General features: G+C 42.3%; 1 protein-coding gene across 3 annotated transcripts in view; it reads left to right on the forward strand.

The window, feature by feature from the left end:
• FNDC1 (fibronectin type III domain containing 1) overlaps positions 1–17,527 on the forward strand; it is a 102,709-nt gene that overhangs the window by 44,124 nt on the left and 41,058 nt on the right. For all 3 annotated transcript variants that reach the window (NM_032532.3, XM_011536190.3, XM_011536191.3), the window contains 6 exons: positions 1,422–1,628; positions 8,075–8,173; positions 10,005–10,122; positions 12,012–12,199; positions 12,950–13,057; positions 16,292–16,480. In NM_032532.3, coding sequence (NP_115921.2) covers positions 1,422–1,628; positions 8,075–8,173; positions 10,005–10,122; positions 12,012–12,199; positions 12,950–13,057; positions 16,292–16,480 — 909 coding nt within the window. The remainder of the gene's footprint in view (positions 1–1,421; positions 1,629–8,074; positions 8,174–10,004; positions 10,123–12,011; positions 12,200–12,949; positions 13,058–16,291; positions 16,481–17,527) is intronic.

Here is a 17,527-nt window from a genome sequence, read left to right on the forward strand (position 1 = left end):
GTATCAGTTTCCATCCCCAGACACACGGCTGGGAAGGTCTCAGGACTGGAGCAGAGTTCAGGGCAGAGGATGCTGTCTCTGCTCAATGATTTATGTTCCAGCTGACTCACATAAGACCAGTGTGTGTGTTCTCAGTAGATCTGCTCATTTTACTGGACTATACTTTTGGACTAAAAACAAAAAAAAAAAAACCTTTAAAACAATTACTACTTTGATTATTGGGGAAAGTATTTGTTGAACATACCATGGTGTTCTCTTAGTAGCCTATAGGAATGGGGTGCCCAGTGACTGGTTGGGTAGCTCCAGCTAATCTACAAGTGGATATTCCTTTTGGTTAGATTCAGGACGTTGGAACCAGGTGTCTGCCATTTCAGCATCTCCAAAGGCTATTGATTTATGTGTTCTTGAAGGGCATGCTGAATTGTGATATTAGATTTTGTTTTTATGTCTTAGTGTTGAAATGTTAGCCTAGCTGGGAATTTTCCAATCTAATAAAATTAGTCAGAATTGGTGATGGGGTTAATGTATATATGGAGGAAGAATGCTTGGGAACTAACTGCCTTACACAATTAAAGAGGTGCTCCTTAGCCTAACTGGATCCCCAAATGAGGGCTTACAATGTGGTTAGTGGCATATTCTAAAAGAGGGCAAGGTGGTAGTCACATGATCCATAACCCTTGTTTCCAAACATACCAGCTCTTATTTGATATACAAGCAAAATTTTAAACACTAAGTATTGATCACCAGAATACACTGCTTTGGGAAAGTTTATAGTGAGGGCATTTCTTGAGATTAACTGGCTTAGCAAGAGATTTCTCAAAACTGATTAATGTAGCAAGTAAAAAAAACAACAGACACAGAGGATAGCAGCGATGGTGTAGCATGGCCAGGCTTTGTCTGGAGGAGCAAGGCTTAGACATGGAAGAAAAATTAGGACCCAAAATAGAAATCAGTTAATGATTCATTGTAAAGGCAAGGAAAGCCCGTCTTTTCAACATTACAGTGAAAAAGCTTTCTGGAGGAGAGTTATAAATAGCACATAATGTCTCTCTGCTATATTTTTATACTGACCTTTAGCTCTTTCCTGAGAATATATAGTTTTGGCCTAAAGGGGACAAAAGGAAATAGATAAAAAGGGACACTGTAAAACATCCAAGATTTCTGGCGGGCAGTCTCACAACATGGAATGTTTTATTTTAATTTCTTGAGACCTTTTGGTATGAAATGTGGGGAGGAATATGTGGTTAGAGTATTGATACCCTTGGGGGAAAAATGTCCTTACTAGAATTAGTTACCAAGAAATGCATGTTTGAAGCTCAGCAGCTAATTGTTGAGGCTCAGGGTCTGAAGACCTCATGTGCATGATGGCAAACTCTAAGTGGTCTACTGTCTAACCACTTTTGTGTCCTGCCCTCTTTAAGAAAAGGAAGTGCCCAACAAGCCCTTGCGTGTGCGTGTCCGGTCCTCAGATGACAGGCTGTCCGTTGCGTGGAAGGCACCACGCCTGTCTGGAGCCAAGAGTCCACGCAGATCACGGGGTTTTCTCCTGGGCTACGGGGAGAGTGGCCGGAAGATGAATTATGTTCCACTGACAAGAGATGAACGGACACACGAAATTAAAAAGCTAGGTGAGTTTCATATTCATTGGTATTCAATGTTTCCATGGTCTTTGGGATCATTTCAATATTTAGAAGCTCATTCATGACAGAGCATTATATTTTAGTTGTAATGTCCACTTGCCAGATGTTACAATGATTTGAATCTCTACTGTTTCTTCCATGTCCATCCTGGACGCCATCATTTTAACCTTCTGTTAGTGGCAGCCCCAGGCTGCCTTCCTAGTGCCTGTCAGTTGCTTCCTGATCCGACAGCACAGACTCCTTGAGTCAGGCCATTTTCCTGGACTTGAGAGTAGGGCCAGTCTTGTCATCTTGGCTGTTTTTGTCATTTTGTTCTTTGAAGCTTTGTCTTAGAATCCTAGGACACTGGGCCTTGGGTCCCATTAAGATGAGACATGGTAGCCGAGTGAAACTGCAAGTCAGGCTTTATTAGGGTTCTCTAGAGGGACAGAACTAATGGAATACACACACATATATAAAGGGGAGTTTATTAAGTATTAACTCACACAATCACAAGGTCCCACAATAGGCCATCTGCAGGCTGAGGAGTAAGGAGAGTCAGTCCAGGTTCCCAAACTGAAGAACTTGGGGTCCGATGTTTGAGGGCAGGAAGCATCCAGCACAGGAGAAGGATGTAGGCTGGGACGCTAGGCCAGTCTCTCTTTTCACATTTTTCTGCCTGTTTATATTCTAGCTGTGCTGGCAGTTGATTAGATTGTGCCCACCCAGATTGAGGGTGCGTCTGCCTTTCCCAGCCCACTGACTTAAATGTTAATCTCCTTTGGCAACACCCTCACAGACATACCCAGGGTCAATACATTGTATCTTTTTTTTTTTGAGACGAAGTCTTGCTCTGTCTCCCAGGCTGGAGTGCAGTGGCGCAATCTTGGCCCACGGCAACCTCCGCCTCCCGGGTTCAGGCGATTCTCCTGCCTCAGCCTCCCGAGTAGCTGGGACTACAGGCACGTGCCACCACACCCAGCTGATTTTTGTATTTTTAGTAGACACGGGGTTTCACCATGTTGGCCAGGCTGGTCTCGAACTCCTGAATTCAGATGATCCACCCACCTCAGCCTCCCAAAGTGCTGGGATTACAGGTGTGAGCCACTGCACCAGGCCAATACTTTGTATCCTTTAATCCAATCAAGTTGACACTCAGTATTAACCATCACACAGGCCATCCTCCCTTTTGTCCAGCCCCTTATTGGGCAAAGGAAGCACTGGCCAGGGAATGCTGATGGGAACCTTTGCTGTGACTGGAAGAGATTATGTGCTCCTTCTGGCCTGGAGGGAGTTCTGATCTTTGCAGGCCGTATTCATCCATAAGCCTGGATAGCGGACATAGGCTTGGCTCTCTGAGGGGCACGACTTGTCGACTTATCCCTCGGGCCTGATGCTTCCTGCTTGTGGAGATAGTGCCAAGAGCCGTCTCACCCCTGCTCCCTGCTTCTCTCATTGGTGAGTTGGAAGGAGCATGGGGCAAGCATAACTGGGCCCTTTCATCTCTGCCCCTCGTGGGGAAACCGGGCCACAGAGAGCACACGCAGGGCCCAGGGCTGCTTGAGCAGAGAGCCTAATTCTGGGTTCCGTGTAAAGTACACTTGCCCTATGTTCTCCAGCTTGCTTCTTACTTACTGTCATGTAAGGGGGCTTTCAGCCCCCACAAATGACTGTTCTGGCATTTCCTAATCAGTTCAGTACTCAAGCAAGGAAAAGGATGTGATTGATTGGGCCTTCTAGAAGACTCCAGTAAGATCCAGGCTCTCTTCCCTTACCTGGAGGGGCCTCTTCCCTTATCTGGAGGGGCCTCTTCCCTTACCTGGTCTCTTCCCTTGCCTGTAGGCAGGGTCTCAGCTTCCTGCCCCGTGGTGTGGAGGCTGGAGGTGGGAGCGGTGGGGAAGGTGCGTGTGCTATGTGGGGATGCGCTGCTGAGAAGGCAGCCTGGCACCCATTGCGTGGCACCTACTTAGTCTTAAAAGGTAAAATCCTTCAGACAAGGAGGGGGATGGGCAGTGTGACTGAGATGGATGAGACCAGACAAGGGCGTGGTAAAGGAGGAGAGGGGAGAGTTGCCTAGGAGGAGAGATGCCGGCCTGCACAGAGAGAAACAGGGGCTCAGGAGACAGCCAAGGCTGGCGCGGAAACAGAGCACTTGCTTGGACGGAAGCCCGGCGAGCCCACACTCCTAGGCGCTCTGAGAGCTCCTAACTCTGAGGAAGGCACAGCCATGCATTTCGGAGCCTGGATAAGCAGCTCTGTGCTCTTCAGTACCTCCGAGGCCAGCCCCCTGGGTCCAGGTAAGCTGACTCTACTTTGTGTGATGCGGGCCAAATTCTACCCCGCATATCAGCAGTTTGGATTTGATCTGGTGGAGACATTGGGTGGATGGTCACATCAGATCCCTTCCCTGATACAGCCTAGGACGTCCCTTTTCTGTTTGTTGCTGTTCAGCCACCTGCTGAAGACTGTCTTGGAGGAGCTCTGCTGCCTGGTGGGTGTTCCAGGCACGGGCTGGCCGCATGGCATTTTGTGTGTTTACATGGTCTCCACATGGTGGCGTAGGCAGCCGAGAGAGCCAGGCGCAGCGTCAAAGCCAGCCCAGCGTATGGACTCCAGCTATTCAAGCAAAAAGGAGACCAGCCACCCCTCTGTTGCAGCGGCATGTGAAATGTCAAGGGAATGCAGGAAGCAAAAGTAGAAACTCTAGAGTGATGTGCTTTGCCAAGCATGACTTTAGAATTAGCAGCAAGACCTTGAATTAGAGACTCAACCCCCTGAAGCCACAGAGTAATTTGTATACCCTTCAGTCATTCCTTCCTGAGCCACCCCTACACAGGTGAGCTGACCGTACTTTGGTGATGCGGGCCAAATTCTGCCCGGCATATCAGCAGGGAAATAGAGTCCCTGGTTTTGCATCTCCGCTGTTGCAGGGGAGCTTTGTTTCAACGGACAGCTTGCTTTGTTCTGAGCCTTCCGGGAACGGCACACACTAAAGTGGCACTTAGCATCAACAAGTGTTTCAACTGGCTGGATCTGTTGTTGTTGTTGTTTTTATTTCTTCAGTGGTGAACTGCTGGCTCACCGGAACATAGTGGAAGGATGTTTTTTGCTGCCTGAACGTGAGCAAATATTGGACCTGAGATCGGGGTGGGCTCCGGTCCCCACCTGGGTGGACCGGACAGCCTCTTGGGCTTCTGGTAAAATGAGTTAGCTCTTAAATTTTCACACATATAAAGCACTAGACTTGCTACCGTGAATGATGTAAGAGATCACCGTGAGGAGGAGGGCTCCTGGAAGCTTGCCCCGTCGCGGGGAAAAGCGGGTGCAGGATGGGGCTGAAGTGGATTCTCCTCGCGGTGTTGGAATGGACCTGCCGTGTCATGGGAAGCCTGTCTACGCACTTATCCTGCATGGGATTTTCAAGCCGTTTATACCAGAGAGGCCACAGAACCCTTGGTACTACAGAGTGGTCGCATGTTAAGGAACCTTGAGGGGTGGGCCTTATGTCCTGCAGTGGAGCGCCACTCTCCGAGCCACTCTCTGTCACTAAACACGTCTTACTGGGCATCTCATGCATCAGACGCGATCCCAGGGAGGCACCAGTGTTGAACTGACTGTCAAAGGAGGCCCCACAGAGAAGGTGGCATTTGGGCAAAGACTTGCAGCCGGAGGGGCTGTGGAACTGTCAGGGGAGAGGAGGCTGCAGGACAGGGAGCTGAGAGGGAGCAAGGGACTTCCTTCTACAAGTCACCAAGGAGCTGTGGGAGTGGGGGAGGACATTTGTGCCACGTCCATTACACACTTGAGGTCGGAAAGTGGGCAAATGTGGTGGCACTGACTGGGGGTTCCTGGGGTCACTGGGCTGATGATGTGGGGGCCATTTTGGGAATTTCAGTTTCCCCTCTTTTTTTTTTTTGTGACAGGGTCTTGCTCTGTCACCCAGGCTGGAGTGCAGTGGCGTAATCTCAGCTCACTGCAACCTCCCCCTCCCGGGTTTAAGAGATTCTCCTGCCTCACCCTCCCAAGTAGTTAGGACTACAGGCACCTGCCACCATGCCCAGCTAATTTCTGTATTTTTAGTAGAGGCAAGGTTTCACCATGTTGGCAAGGCTGGCCTCGAACTCCTGACCTCAAATGATCAACCCACCTTGGCCTCCCAAAATGCTGGGGATTGCAGGCGTGAGCCACCTCACCCGGCCATTTCCCCTCTTTATTCAGTAATCAGGGGCACAGAAAGAGGTCATCTTGACACCATTGCATGTTCATCATATCTCTATGAGGAAGAGACAGCTTGCTGGGTGGCTGTGGCCTGGTCAGCTCTGCACCCGCCCCTCCTCATCTGCAGTTATTGAGAGCCAGGCTTTGGTGCCCGCAGATCTGGGTGGGCCCGCTTCCTTGTCTGTGAAGTGAAGACAACAACAGTAGCTTCTGCGCGGGGCTTTGTTGAGACTCAATGAAGATGCGCGCGTGAGAAGCTTAGCACAGGGGAGAGCTGTCATTGTGTTTACTGCAGAATAAAACTTTTTCTTAATGATAAACTTGGGCCGAGTTTAGTTTCAAGAGTGCAGCAAATCAAGAAATCTGGGCATTAAAAAAAAATCTCAGAACTTTAAGAAATACATTGAAGGCATATACAAATTTCAGTTGTGGGAAATTATTCGTTTCTTGAGAAATGATGGGACACTGCTTTCCATTAGTTACTTACAATGTGTCCCTGGACTGTGAGGTCGAATGGCCATTTTTGTTTGTTTGTTTGTTTACTTCTGGCGAGATTCCATTGTCAATAGCACCGAGTAATGAACAGATCTGAAGTGACTCCTCCATATAGAAGCTTAGTTTGATGTTCTGTGCATTCAAGTGTTACAAACTATTCCCTCCCTTTTATAAAACATTTTAAAATCTTCTGGTAGAATAAGAGGTGAGTGCCGAGTGCCTCCGTATAAATAATTTACTCATTTATGGCTAGAGTATCACCCGCTTTCTCTCTGTAGAGAGCAGGCTGTCAAATATTATCCTCTTCCTTTGAAACCTCTGATTCTTCTACAGCAGCTCACTGTCCATAAACAGTCCCTCTGTGTGAGAATTTTGAACACAAGTCTTCTTTCACGTTTAGCACAACATGCTTGTAAAGACAAAAGAGGGATTTCCTGCTGCCATCTGAACATGTGCAGTGCCTGAAGGAGAGTGCGTGCTCTCAGCTCCCCTTAGGATCTTAGTGTCACTTCCGTTAACTTACTTAGGTCCTACCTGATATTATAACTATTGGCACTAGAAATAGGCCAGATCGCCTCATTTTTATTCTTGAAAAGATTAAAGCTGCAACAGGAGCCTTGGTCAGAGAGTCTGGAGTGAGGCATTAGCAATTTTGGATTCAGGATAGATTGTAAGTTATTAAGTGTGTGACCCTGGGCAAGTCACTCAATTGTTAGGGCTTTATGTTCTTATTTGTAAGATAAGAAGGTCAAATAAAAAATAAAAAAGGTTTTACCTGGGTCTCAGACTTTATGATTCCATAGTAATTGAGAGGACAAGTTTTGTTCCATCATTGCATTTTTTTCTTCAAGTGCAATGGCCCCTGGTATACACTGGATTGGTTCCAGCATTCCCTGAGTATACCCAAATCCGTGCAGACTCAAGACCCTGCAGAATCCACGTACAGTAAAGGCTGGCCCTCCCTGTGCACGGGTTTGGCACCTCTGGAATACAATCCTATCTGCATCTGGTTGAAAAGAATCCACGTATAACGTGGATCTGCACAGTTCAAACCTGTGTTGTTCAAGGACCAGCTGTTCAATTTTCAAGTTCAGGCTAAGTTGCATGCTAGTGGGACCCTCGGAGGGTGCGGGCAAGAACTGACTGAAAGAACCATCCAGAAATAAGGGGTACATTTAAAGTCTTCCATGTGCTGTTAGCAAATCTTCAGAGACTCTGTTTTGAGGATTTTAGTTTTGAAGGGCACAGCATTCCACAGGGAAAGAAAGACCTGGGCTACTCATGTTGCACATTGGCTATTCTTTTCTTTTCTTCTTTCTTTCTGGTGACAGATTAAAAACAGAGTAACCTCCTCTTCTCAATTTTGGAAGTAGAAAGAAATTGGGGGAATTATGTGGGTAAACGTGTTATTCTTTTCTTTTTTAAAGCATTTATCTCTTTTTGATGATTTTGTTTTTGCTTATCTCTTTTTGATGCTGATGAGGTAGAAACCTATTTTTCAGGAATTACTGGTAAAAAATCAGTTCCCTATTTTCTAACATAATAGTGTTCTTTTTGAGTTTAATTCCTGCAGTTCTTGGGCTCGCCCTTCATAGTCCTCAAGAAGTGGGAATACCCCCAGAAAGAGGAAACGGAAAAAGGGGAAGGGGAGGAGGAATGCAGAACCCCCGCTCCAGCCCCAGGGGATGTGTGTTCCTGAGAAATGGAAGTCAGAATCTCATCCCTCACTCCCTGGTCCACAGCCTCGGAATCCGTGTATGTGGTCTCCCTGCAGTCCATGAACTCTCAGGGCCGGAGCCAACCAGTCTACAGGGCTGCCCTAACAAAGCGAAAGATTTCAGGTATGTTTCTAAGGATGCATTTGGTCAAACCATAGTCTGGTATGAATGCTATGTTGTTTCCAAATGATGCTGGCTGAATGATGAATTACATGAATTTTATTGAGGCTAAAAGAAATAACAGGGCAAATGTGGTCACATTTTGGGTGTAAGCGTGCTGCTTTTATATGCAAAGGCTAGAGTGCTCTTGTGATGGAATACATTTCACTGTTTATTTTGAGCCACTTCACTGTGCAGCAGATTTGCTGCGATAGGAGCAGCCAAGCGTTCATTCCAGTAAAGGTGCAGTGTGACCCAAGCCTAAATTGCCCTGGGTGATGCACTGAACGACGTGAGAGAGAAGGAAGAGCAGGCGGGAGGTGGTGCATGCAAGATAAGTACACACATGTTATTTCAGCTATATTTGCATTAAAATGGCATTGAGAATCCTCAGAAAAAGCATCATAGTGGTTTGCTGAGAGCCTGATCATTGTCCACACGGTTACATTTCCCACGTCCCTTCACAGGCATTTTCTATATTCCTGATACATTAACAAATGACAGGTACCTTTTCTGGACCACATACCTTAATTTAAAGAGGCAATCTACAACATAATTATTTTCATGAGTTCACAACATAAAATGAAAGTTATACTTTTTTACATTGTATGAAGTTCCACAAATACAATGTTTCTCTCTTATTATTGATGAATTGCTGCCATAGGATGAGTCCCTATATCACTTTTCTAGCAGGCTAAATATTTTCACCTTCCCCTGCTGGTGGTAAAATCCACATCCTTTTGAAACACGGTCCCTGAAAAGTGAAAAGAAAAAACGAAACAAAAAACTAAAACAAACAAAAAACCCAAGAGACTACAGAGTAATATTGAAGACATCTTGTGAGTCTTTTGAACTAAGACTATAAGCTTTGTGACTGTGATATGTTCTATTGATAACAAAGATAAATCTCTGTAAGAAATTGGCAAACTGACTTCTAGTTCATATCTGAACATGTTTTAATCTGTCTTGGACTCACACCTTCTAAAATGTGAGGACATCAAACCCAATGTGAATCTTGCAGTTGTTTGAACCAGAATTTTCATTTCATGCCATGATCATCAAGGAAATGTGAGTTGAGCTTTCCTTCTCCTAAACTTTTCTTCCCATGAAAATGTTATTATTTTCCAGAAGCTTACAGTGTATATTGAGAAAGCACTGAGTTACTTGGACCATCTTTCACCTAGGCAAAGCATCCCCTTTGTACTGTTTTATATGTCGATTGGGTTGGGCAGCTTTTAAAGTGAAATACTCATTTTTTTTTTTTTTTTTTTTTTTTTTTTGAGGTGGAGTTTTCGCTCTGTTGCCCAGGCTGGAGTGCAGTGGCATGATCTCGACTCACTGCAAGCTCCGCCTCCTGGATTCACACCATTCTCCTGCCTCAGCCTCCCGAGTATTTGGGACTACAGGCACCCGCCACCACACCCAGCTAATTTCTTATATTTTTTAGTAGAGACGGGGTTTCACTGTGTTAGCCAGGATGGTCTTGATCTCCTGACCTCGTGATCTGCCCGCCTCGGCCTCCCAAAGTGCTGGGATTACAGGCGTGAACCACCACACCTGGCCGAAATGCTCATTTCTTAGCCTGTATTTAAGAAATGCAAGACTGAGATTTTTGTTTTTCTACACTGACCAATCCAATAATTGTTTACCTTTCTATCAATTTCATTTTGTCTACATTACACACAAGCAATCTAAAACTTATGCAGGGTGAATAATAGCCTGTCAAGGACTGAGGAGCTCAGGGCAGAACCTGTTGTGAGAGAAAGCCTTTCTCTGGGTCTCGTTGTCATTTCAGAAGAGGACGAATTGGATGTACCTGACGACATCAGCGTCCGGGTTATGTCATCTCAGTCTGTGCTTGTGTCCTGGGTGGATCCTGTTCTGGAAAAACAGAAGAAAGTTGTTGCATCAAGGTACTTTTGCTTATTTATTTGTCTTTATATATGAGAGATGGGGTTTTTCTGGCCCTGAAAAGACATGTATTTAATGATTTTATTTTCTGACTTACATGAATGCTGGTCTCTTTTGTAGCTGAATAGCTGAATGGTAAATATTCTATGACAATCTAGTTAATCCCAGGTGTGCTCACACATTTCCCACAAATCAGATGTTAGCAGGGCCTCGTGTGTAGTGCACACAGCAGGAATTCACATCTCACTTGCTCAGTGATTTATCTTGTGTCTGGAAATTTCCTAGATTCCATTTCTTTCTTTGCCTGTGTTTGTGTTTTGCTTTCTCTCATTGATGTTCTGTTCATGCACAGGGTCCACTTTGGGAGGAGTCTCACCATTCCTCCTGTGATCCAGGAAGAGTCACTGTTAGATGGACTTTATGTAGAGTGGTGGACAATGTCTAATGCCTTACACTTCGTAGTTCCTCATTAGACTTTGCTGAACACTGACTTGCTTCATGTCTGGCTCATTTATACATAACAAAATGCACCTTATCTTCTCTTAAACCATGATGTTATGCTATTCTGCCTTTTATATTCATTTGCAACAGCAATAAAAGGCAAACCAATCATAAGGTTAAAATATTTTTATGTTAAAAGTCCACTAGTGAACATCATTTCTAGTTAGTGGTAGATTAGTATAGCCATGAAAATTTTATTTCCACGACTGAATACATTAAGTAACCAAGAGAAAGCCACAGATGTGGTGGTCTGGTTATTATATATTAACTTTTCAACCTCTCTGCAACCAAGAAAGGGGAATATAGTTTAAAACGAATGGGATATGATGACATTATATATATACATATATAAATGATTATTCATGTTAGATATATAGTTTCCTTCACTGTCTGCTAGTAAAAAAGATAGCTGCTTTTTTTTGAAAGACCTCAGAAGATTCGTAGCAATTCTCTCCCTAGCCATATGGTCTTCTTCAACATGAAGTGTTCCTTTTACCATTGGACTTTGATTTCCAACATCTTGCTGAAACCAGAGAAGGCTTGAGTTTTCTTAGCAGAACTGTTGTGTTAATTGGTGTCCTGTGTCTTCAACTGAAATCTTCTCTTAACATATTCAGTATAACAAATAGCACATTTTTTAATGTATCAAATGCTTTCTACTGCAAAGAGGCCACAAAGACAATTTCTTTGAAAGGGAATCTAATAAATGGCATTTGCAGCTCTTAGAGTGTTGAGGGTGTCCACTGTCAGGGGTTGCTGAACTGTCCATATTTGGTCATACTGTATTTCTCCCCCGATAACCATGCACCACAGTTCCTTTTATAGGTGCCTCTGTCCTGCTCTGTTTGTTTCACATTTTCACTCCTTTTCACTGTAGTAAGTCTACTCAAAACCACATGTTCCCGTTCCTCCTGAACCTATGGAAAACATGCCTGATTTGGGATGAAATGAGTCTTTTTTGTCTTTCTTTTCTGGAGAGCTGAGATAACCTTGGGCCAGGTCCCTACTAGTGCCTTGAGTAGACACAAATACAGACACACACACACACACGCACAGTCACACACACACAAACACATATCCCTGATAAAGTAGTTGCCTCATAAAAGCTGTCTCCCTTCTCTCTCTTCCCTTTGTAATCTCTGCTTGCTCTTTTGAATGGTAAGATTTTTTGGTCTTGAAAAGACACTAAGCTCTGTTTTTTTCTCCCACTTTAGACAACTTTGCTTGGAACTTTGAGCCAATAACATAGTCAAAAGTTTAGATTTTTCTCCTCTTTGATTTTCTTACTTACCTCCCAAAGTCATCACTTATGAGGAAGGAAAAACAGCGAGGCATCTAGTGTTGAGTGGCAGAGAATTTGGACAGATCATTGTGTTGTGTTTTCTTACAGACAGTACACCGTGCGCTATCGAGAGAAGGGGGAATTGGCCAGGTGGGATTATAAGCAGATCGCTAACAGGCGTGTGCTGATTGAGAACCTGATTCCAGACACTGTGTATGAATTTGCAGTCCGTATTTCACAGGGTGAAAGAGATGGCAAATGGAGTACGTCAGTCTTCCAAAGAACACCAGAATCTGGTCTGTATTTGAAATGGCCTTTGAATTTTCAATTTGGGAATTACACCCAAAATAAGATTTAAAGACAATGTAAGATGCCAATAGTGACAAAGGCCAGCGTGGGCATTTTTGAAAGTCATGTTAATCCTAAATTTTGGTAGAGTTTCTATGCGTACATGCAAAGAAGTTAAGGAACTGTTTTTTGGGTCCATGTTTTACCGTTTGTTGGCCTTTTCCACTAGCATGTTGTTCATGTTGTTCTGACATGTGGAGCACATTAAATCCCAGTGTGTAGCATGCATCAGTCACCATTGTGTGCGTGAATGCCCCCAGGTGATGGATGGCTCTTGCATGTAGGAGAGCCTCTGCTTTCCTGAGGCTGAGGTTGCATTTGATTCTGGGAAAAATTTTGGTCTGTATCCAAGGCTACCATTCTTTTCTCTTAAACTATGTCTTTCAAAGTTTCATTAAGAAGAAGTTGGAACTGGATCTTAATCTTCTTTGTATATTTCAATATTTGGCAATGAAAGAAATTCTGAATTACTAAGACCATTTCCCTAGATAGGTCTAAACTCACTAAATGAACTGTTGTAGTGACATAAATCACTATATTACACAAAGAACCAGTGTGGAATTTTCTGTCAGGTATAATAAAAATTAACACAGTAGGTCTTCAATTTAAAAAAATGTGTACCTAGAGACCATGTGCTATTTACATCTAGAATGTCCGGTAAGGCATTTAAAAATGTTTCTTTCCTTGTCATTTTGTAGCCCCTACCACAGCTCCTGAAAACTTGAACGTCTGGCCAGTCAATGGCAAACCTACAGTTGTCGCTGCATCTTGGGATGCGCTACCAGAGACTGAGGGGAAAGTGAAAGGTAGGAATCTCACTCCCTAAACTGTAAGATGCATTGATTCTGATGAACATGGCCTCTGCTTACGGCTTTGTTGACTGAAAAAGAAATAGGGAAGCAACATATGTCTAAGAGGTGCTCACCCAAGGGACGAGGATATTTCATGCAAGATTTTCATTGCCCAAGATCCAAGCAGTCACGAAAGTGACTATTCTTTTCATCCTCCTGTGAAGGCTTTTTGCTGTTGCTGTTGGGAAGGATGTTTTTCATTGCATGGGTGTGACAACATAACCTTTTCCCATCTGAACAACACCCTGGCTTCCATGCTATGGGTCTTTTCGTTGTGCTAGGAAGATCACGAAAGCAGGTGTCAGCAGGAATCCTGCAGAGCCATCAGTATCTTTCATGGGACCATAAATACATTTAATGGGTTTGAAAAACTCAAGTAATAATCGCTGGAAAATGGATTGATTCCCTATTTGTCACCATTTGTTTATGTATTTATTGATGTCAAGGAAAACATAACACCAAAATAGCAAAAAAACCTAGATATTTTAAAGAATAAAAATAGAGTAAAACATTCACAACTAGTTAAATTTTAAAATAGTCTGTTGAGAATACTAAATAAACATGAAAATCTTTTATTTTTAATGTAAAAGCGTTTAAGAACCTCTCAGAATCTGTTTGGAGACATTTTAAAGAGCCATGCTGAAGTTTTTCCTGGCACTGCCTATGCAAATGTACTCTAAGGGTAGGAAGGAATGGAGGTTTTATTCAAGAAAGAAATAATTTTTATTGTTATTAGATTGAGGGGCAACTTTAAGTCTAATATGTCCAGAAACTATGAAATGTTTGTGTAAGCTTAAAGAAATCCAGAAAATTACTACTAGTCTCCTTTGAGAATTTCTTAATTGAAAAAACTGAATGGTTCTCTTTTATATTCATCCAAAAGTTATGTTTGCTGACATGTAGGATGTCTTTTCTTGGAATAATAGAAGTTAAGGAAGGTCGATGTGGAACTGTATTTTCTATACTTCACGTTTTTTCACTTTTTTTTTTTAAAGAATAGATTGTACTATTCTTCTTTCTCTTTTTTTTTTTTTTTGCCATTGGAATAAATCCACAACCAGAGAAAAATATTAATTTGGTCCCTTTAAATCAGGGGTGTACAATCTTTTGGCTTCCCTGGGCCACATTGGAAGAAGAATTGTCTTGGGCCACGCATAAAATACACTAACACTAACGAAAGCTGATGAGCTTTAAAAAAAAGGTCCATGCATTAGTCTCATAATATTTTACGAAAGTTTATGAATCTGTGCTGGGCCTCATTCAAAGCTGTCCTGGGCTGCTTGCAGCCTGTGGGCCACAGGTTGAACAGCTTGCTTTAAATCATTCTTTTTACCACAATTTGAACTTTAACTCCCTCTGTATTAAGTATTGTTGTGCTGCCGAGAAGACCTCTGAAAATTGAATAAAGACTTTTTTTTTGCTAACTACTTTTTGTTAGTTAAAAAATGAAAAGGTAATTATTGCACCTCTGGTGACTTTATTCCCATGCTACTTATGTACTCTTCCTCTCTCCCTCATCTGAGTTGATATTTACAGTTCCTTGGCGAAAGAAGTTCCATGGTAGTCAATTAAATATTGCAGAAATAATAACAGATACTGAGTTTTTATGTCCAAAAGAACTCGCGTATCTTAAGCCTGCTTAGGTCGTTTTTGTAAGGGTGTAGTGGTGAGATTAAAATTAATAATTTTCTATGTACAAGAAATATAAAACGTAATAGAAGAATATACTTTGACAAGGCTAAATTTATTTTCCAGATGGATTTAATTTATTTTAAAATTTGAATCACAAATTTTTATAGACAATGGGTTCTCTTAATTCTTACTTTTGACCACCACAAATGACAAGTTTGTTGATTTTCAATGAGAAATGAATGCTGTTTTTTCCAGACAAATGCTGCAAAAGCATTTTTGGTTGAAACGTTTTTTTTTTAAATAAATATACTTTTTAAAGATTGGAGCTAAGGGAAAAGAAAAGATCATCCATGCTCCTGATAATTCTTGAATTTTCTGTGATTAAAGTTATTTTTCTTTGTTCCTACTCATTTCTTTTTCTTTTTATTTTATTTTTTGAGACATAGCCTCACTTCATTGCCCAGGCTGGAGTGCAGTGTGCAATCTCGGCTCACTGCAACCTCTGCCTCCAGGGTCCAAGTGATTCTCCTGCCTCAGCCTCTCGAGTAGCTGGGACCACAGGCACACACCACCATCACTGGCTAATTTTTGTATTTTAATAGAGACGGGGGTTTCACCCTGCTGGCCAGGGTGGTCTCAAACTTCTGACCTCAAGTCATCTGCCCGCCTTAGCCTCCCAAAGTGCTGGGATTACAGGCGTGAGCAACCATGCCCAGCCCCTACTCATATTAATTTGATGTTTTGTAAATCTTGGGTTCATTGAGAGGAAATAGGCATGACAGTTTTTAGTTGAAGGCAAAAATTATTTTTTAAAATATTATTCCCTTATGTTATAACATTTCCATGTGAGCATAAACATATTTTAGTTCCTTGAACTGAATTTGCTTTGGTTTTCCAAAATTCAGGGCTATTATGTGACTATAGAGCAAGCCAATTAAAGATGGAAACATTAGCTATCACATAAATCTATTACTTAACAACTTTTCTTCACAGCTCTAAAATACTGTGAAATATCTTTATCAGGATATACTAAGAACTTTTATAATTCCTACAAAAATGAAATTATATTTCAAATATGGAATTTTTCTGGCTAAATGTGCTAATAAAAATAACCCAGGTTAATAAAGTAAAACTCTTGAAGATGTCAGATGCTATTCAGGATCCATTCCTAGCAGTTGTCACTTCTTTTTCCTTAGTTTATTCTATCAGGACATATCAATCATAGCAAATTAGTAAATAAATACAATTTTAGAAACCCAACGGTGTGTAAATTTGGGGGGAATTGTATGAAGACTGGCCTCCTGGCTTTCATATGTTTAATTTGCCTAAAATGGTGAAGTGTCAGCTAATTAAATACATAGCCCTGTGTGGTTGCCCGAATGAATGTGAGTTCACCTTCTGCTGTGTCTTCATGCTCCAGCTGGTGACTTGGCGTGCATTGCTAGTGTATTAATTTTAGTAATGCACGTTCTAATTCGTCCTGCCCATACAGTCTGTCTGCTGGACACAGGACTGTTTTCAGTTTCCTCCTTCCAACCATCTGCCAAATCATTTCAGAATACATTCTTTCATACGCCCCGGCTCTCAAACCATTTGGAGCAAAGTCCCTCACCTATCCTGGAGACACTACTTCTGCCCTGGTGGATGGTCTGCAGCCTGGGGAACGCTATCTTTTCAAAATCCGGGCCACAAACAGGAGAGGCCTGGGACCTCACTCCAAAGCCTTCATTGTCGCTATGCCAACAAGTAAGCATTATGTGTCTGTGGCTGTCTTCTCTCTCTCTTCATTCCTGCTGTTTGTTTTGTGTTCCTTTGAATCATGCTCTTGGGTTTGGAACTGCTCAGCAGATGATTTTTCCAGGCTAAGTTGCATATTGATTTTTAAAATATTTTTGTGTTTCCTTTAGAAATTAGTCTTCTCAAAGATTAAAATGTTATTGATTATTGATAACAGTTACTATTTCAGTATTATTAATGTATTAATTATATAATTAATCTGACATCATTATTTAACTTTAGGCTTGTGGTAACAGGGAAAGAACATTTTTACAAATGGTAGTGTGACATTTTTCATTGTCAGCTCTCTTCAATTTCTATGTAGCTTTAAAAATGTTTAGTTTGCAAAAGCAGAAAGGACAGGAGACGGGTGAGGGTTAAAAAAATTACCCACTGGGTACAATATTCACTGGCTGGGAGATGGGTTCACTGGAAGCCCAAGCTTCACCATGATGCAGTATATTCATGTGACAAACCTGCACGTGCAGCCCCTGAATCTAAAATTTAAAAATAAGATAAAAGTAAAATTTTTGGTTTGTATTCCATTATTTAGGAATGCAGCTGTACCCAGAAGGATTTCAGTTGTCTAGCTTACCTGATCGATATCCAAACCAAACAAGTTAATAAAGATCCACAACTGGAAGGGAGTGTTTTTGGACCATGTTTTCTTTTCTACTTCCTCACATTTATGCTGGATATTGGCGGCTTTTCCTTCATTATGTGCTATGAAGACCCATGGTAGACTGCAATATTAGACAATTTTGTCATGGAAAAATCTGTGAAATGGATGACATTTGCCCCTCCGGCACTCTCACTGCAATATAGGTTCCTCTCCCCTATAGAATCTCTTCCCTCAGTCAGTCTGCTCTGAAGACAGGGTGATTACAGTACATTTAATATAATGTTTGCCTATCCCAGGAGTTTTTTTTATTTTAAGCCTTATTTTAGAATTATAAATGTGTCCACTATTAATGGAATTTTAAACAAGAAGGAGGAAGCAGGTAAGGACATGCTATG

This window comes from Homo sapiens, chromosome 6 (genome assembly GCF_000001405.40).
Source record: "Homo sapiens chromosome 6, GRCh38.p14 Primary Assembly".
In the NCBI taxonomy this organism is placed as follows: domain Eukaryota; kingdom Metazoa; phylum Chordata; class Mammalia; order Primates; family Hominidae; genus Homo; species Homo sapiens.